This window comes from Homo sapiens, chromosome 2 (genome assembly GCF_000001405.40).
Source record: "Homo sapiens chromosome 2, GRCh38.p14 Primary Assembly".
Classification (NCBI taxonomy): domain Eukaryota; kingdom Metazoa; phylum Chordata; class Mammalia; order Primates; family Hominidae; genus Homo; species Homo sapiens.
The window spans coordinates 16931247-16932056 of NC_000002.12; the positions used below are offsets into that span (position 1 = coordinate 16931247).

The window sequence follows — 810 nt, forward strand, 5'->3', positions numbered from 1 at the left end:
TGAGGTTTTATATGTTGGCATACTTCTGGAGTTTTGTGTCCCTTCTCCCCTATTCTTCCCTTGTGGTGGTGGTGGGCTGTCCGCATGCACGGTAGCCTACCAGCACTTGGGAGGGGCCACATGCAGTGTGTTTACTGGAGTTGTGCGCATACTCACTTGAGACATTCTTCCTTTAAGAGTCAAATGTTCCTAGAAGGTCATATACCAGTTAAACTCCACCGTTTTGCCTCTTAGTGTGCATGCATGAGCCCACTTGCTTGCCCAGCTCTTGAGATCTCATTAGGAAGCTGCTGATCACCAGTTTCAGCTGTTTCTGTCTACTGGGAGACTGCATTTCCCTGGTACTGGCTGTGACCAGAGAGACAGTTAACAACCGCCTGGCCATCACCTCATTGTCACCTGGCATTGCTGCTGCATGTGTCAGTCAGGGAGAGCCCTCTCCTGCCCTGCGCATGCCTGGCTAGCTACCTACTATAACAATGAATGCTTAGGAGAAAGAAACATTTAATTAATAACTTAGTAATCAGCAAACGCCAGAAATTGTGGAGTCTGTCCTATCCACAGTAGGGGAACACCTGTAGGGATCAGAGAAAAAGATTACAACAGCCTGGAACCTGTAGATCTCTAGGTTTTGATCTTTCTCCTGGTTTCCTTCTGATACATATTTGGAGTAGGAATACACAAAGTGTGGAACTCATTTGCATCTGGGGAAGAAATGAAAACAGGAATAGAAAATTGTTAAGAAAAGTTGGTAAAAAGATACTGTTCTCTATCATCTTGATCGTCTACCCAAAATCATAAAAACGGAAA

The 810-nt window shown here is 44.9% G+C and overlaps 1 annotated feature.

Annotated features, from left to right (window-relative positions):
• Positions 295–501: a silencer, noted in NCBI's record as "fragment chr2:17112808-17113014 (GRCh37/hg19 assembly coordinates)". NCBI's record gives its function as "represses an EF-1alpha promoter that drives an FKBP-Casp9 reporter gene in an ReSE screen in HepG2 liver carcinoma cells {active_cell/tissue: HepG2}" and the evidence as "EXISTENCE:reporter gene assay evidence [ECO:0000049][PMID:32094911]".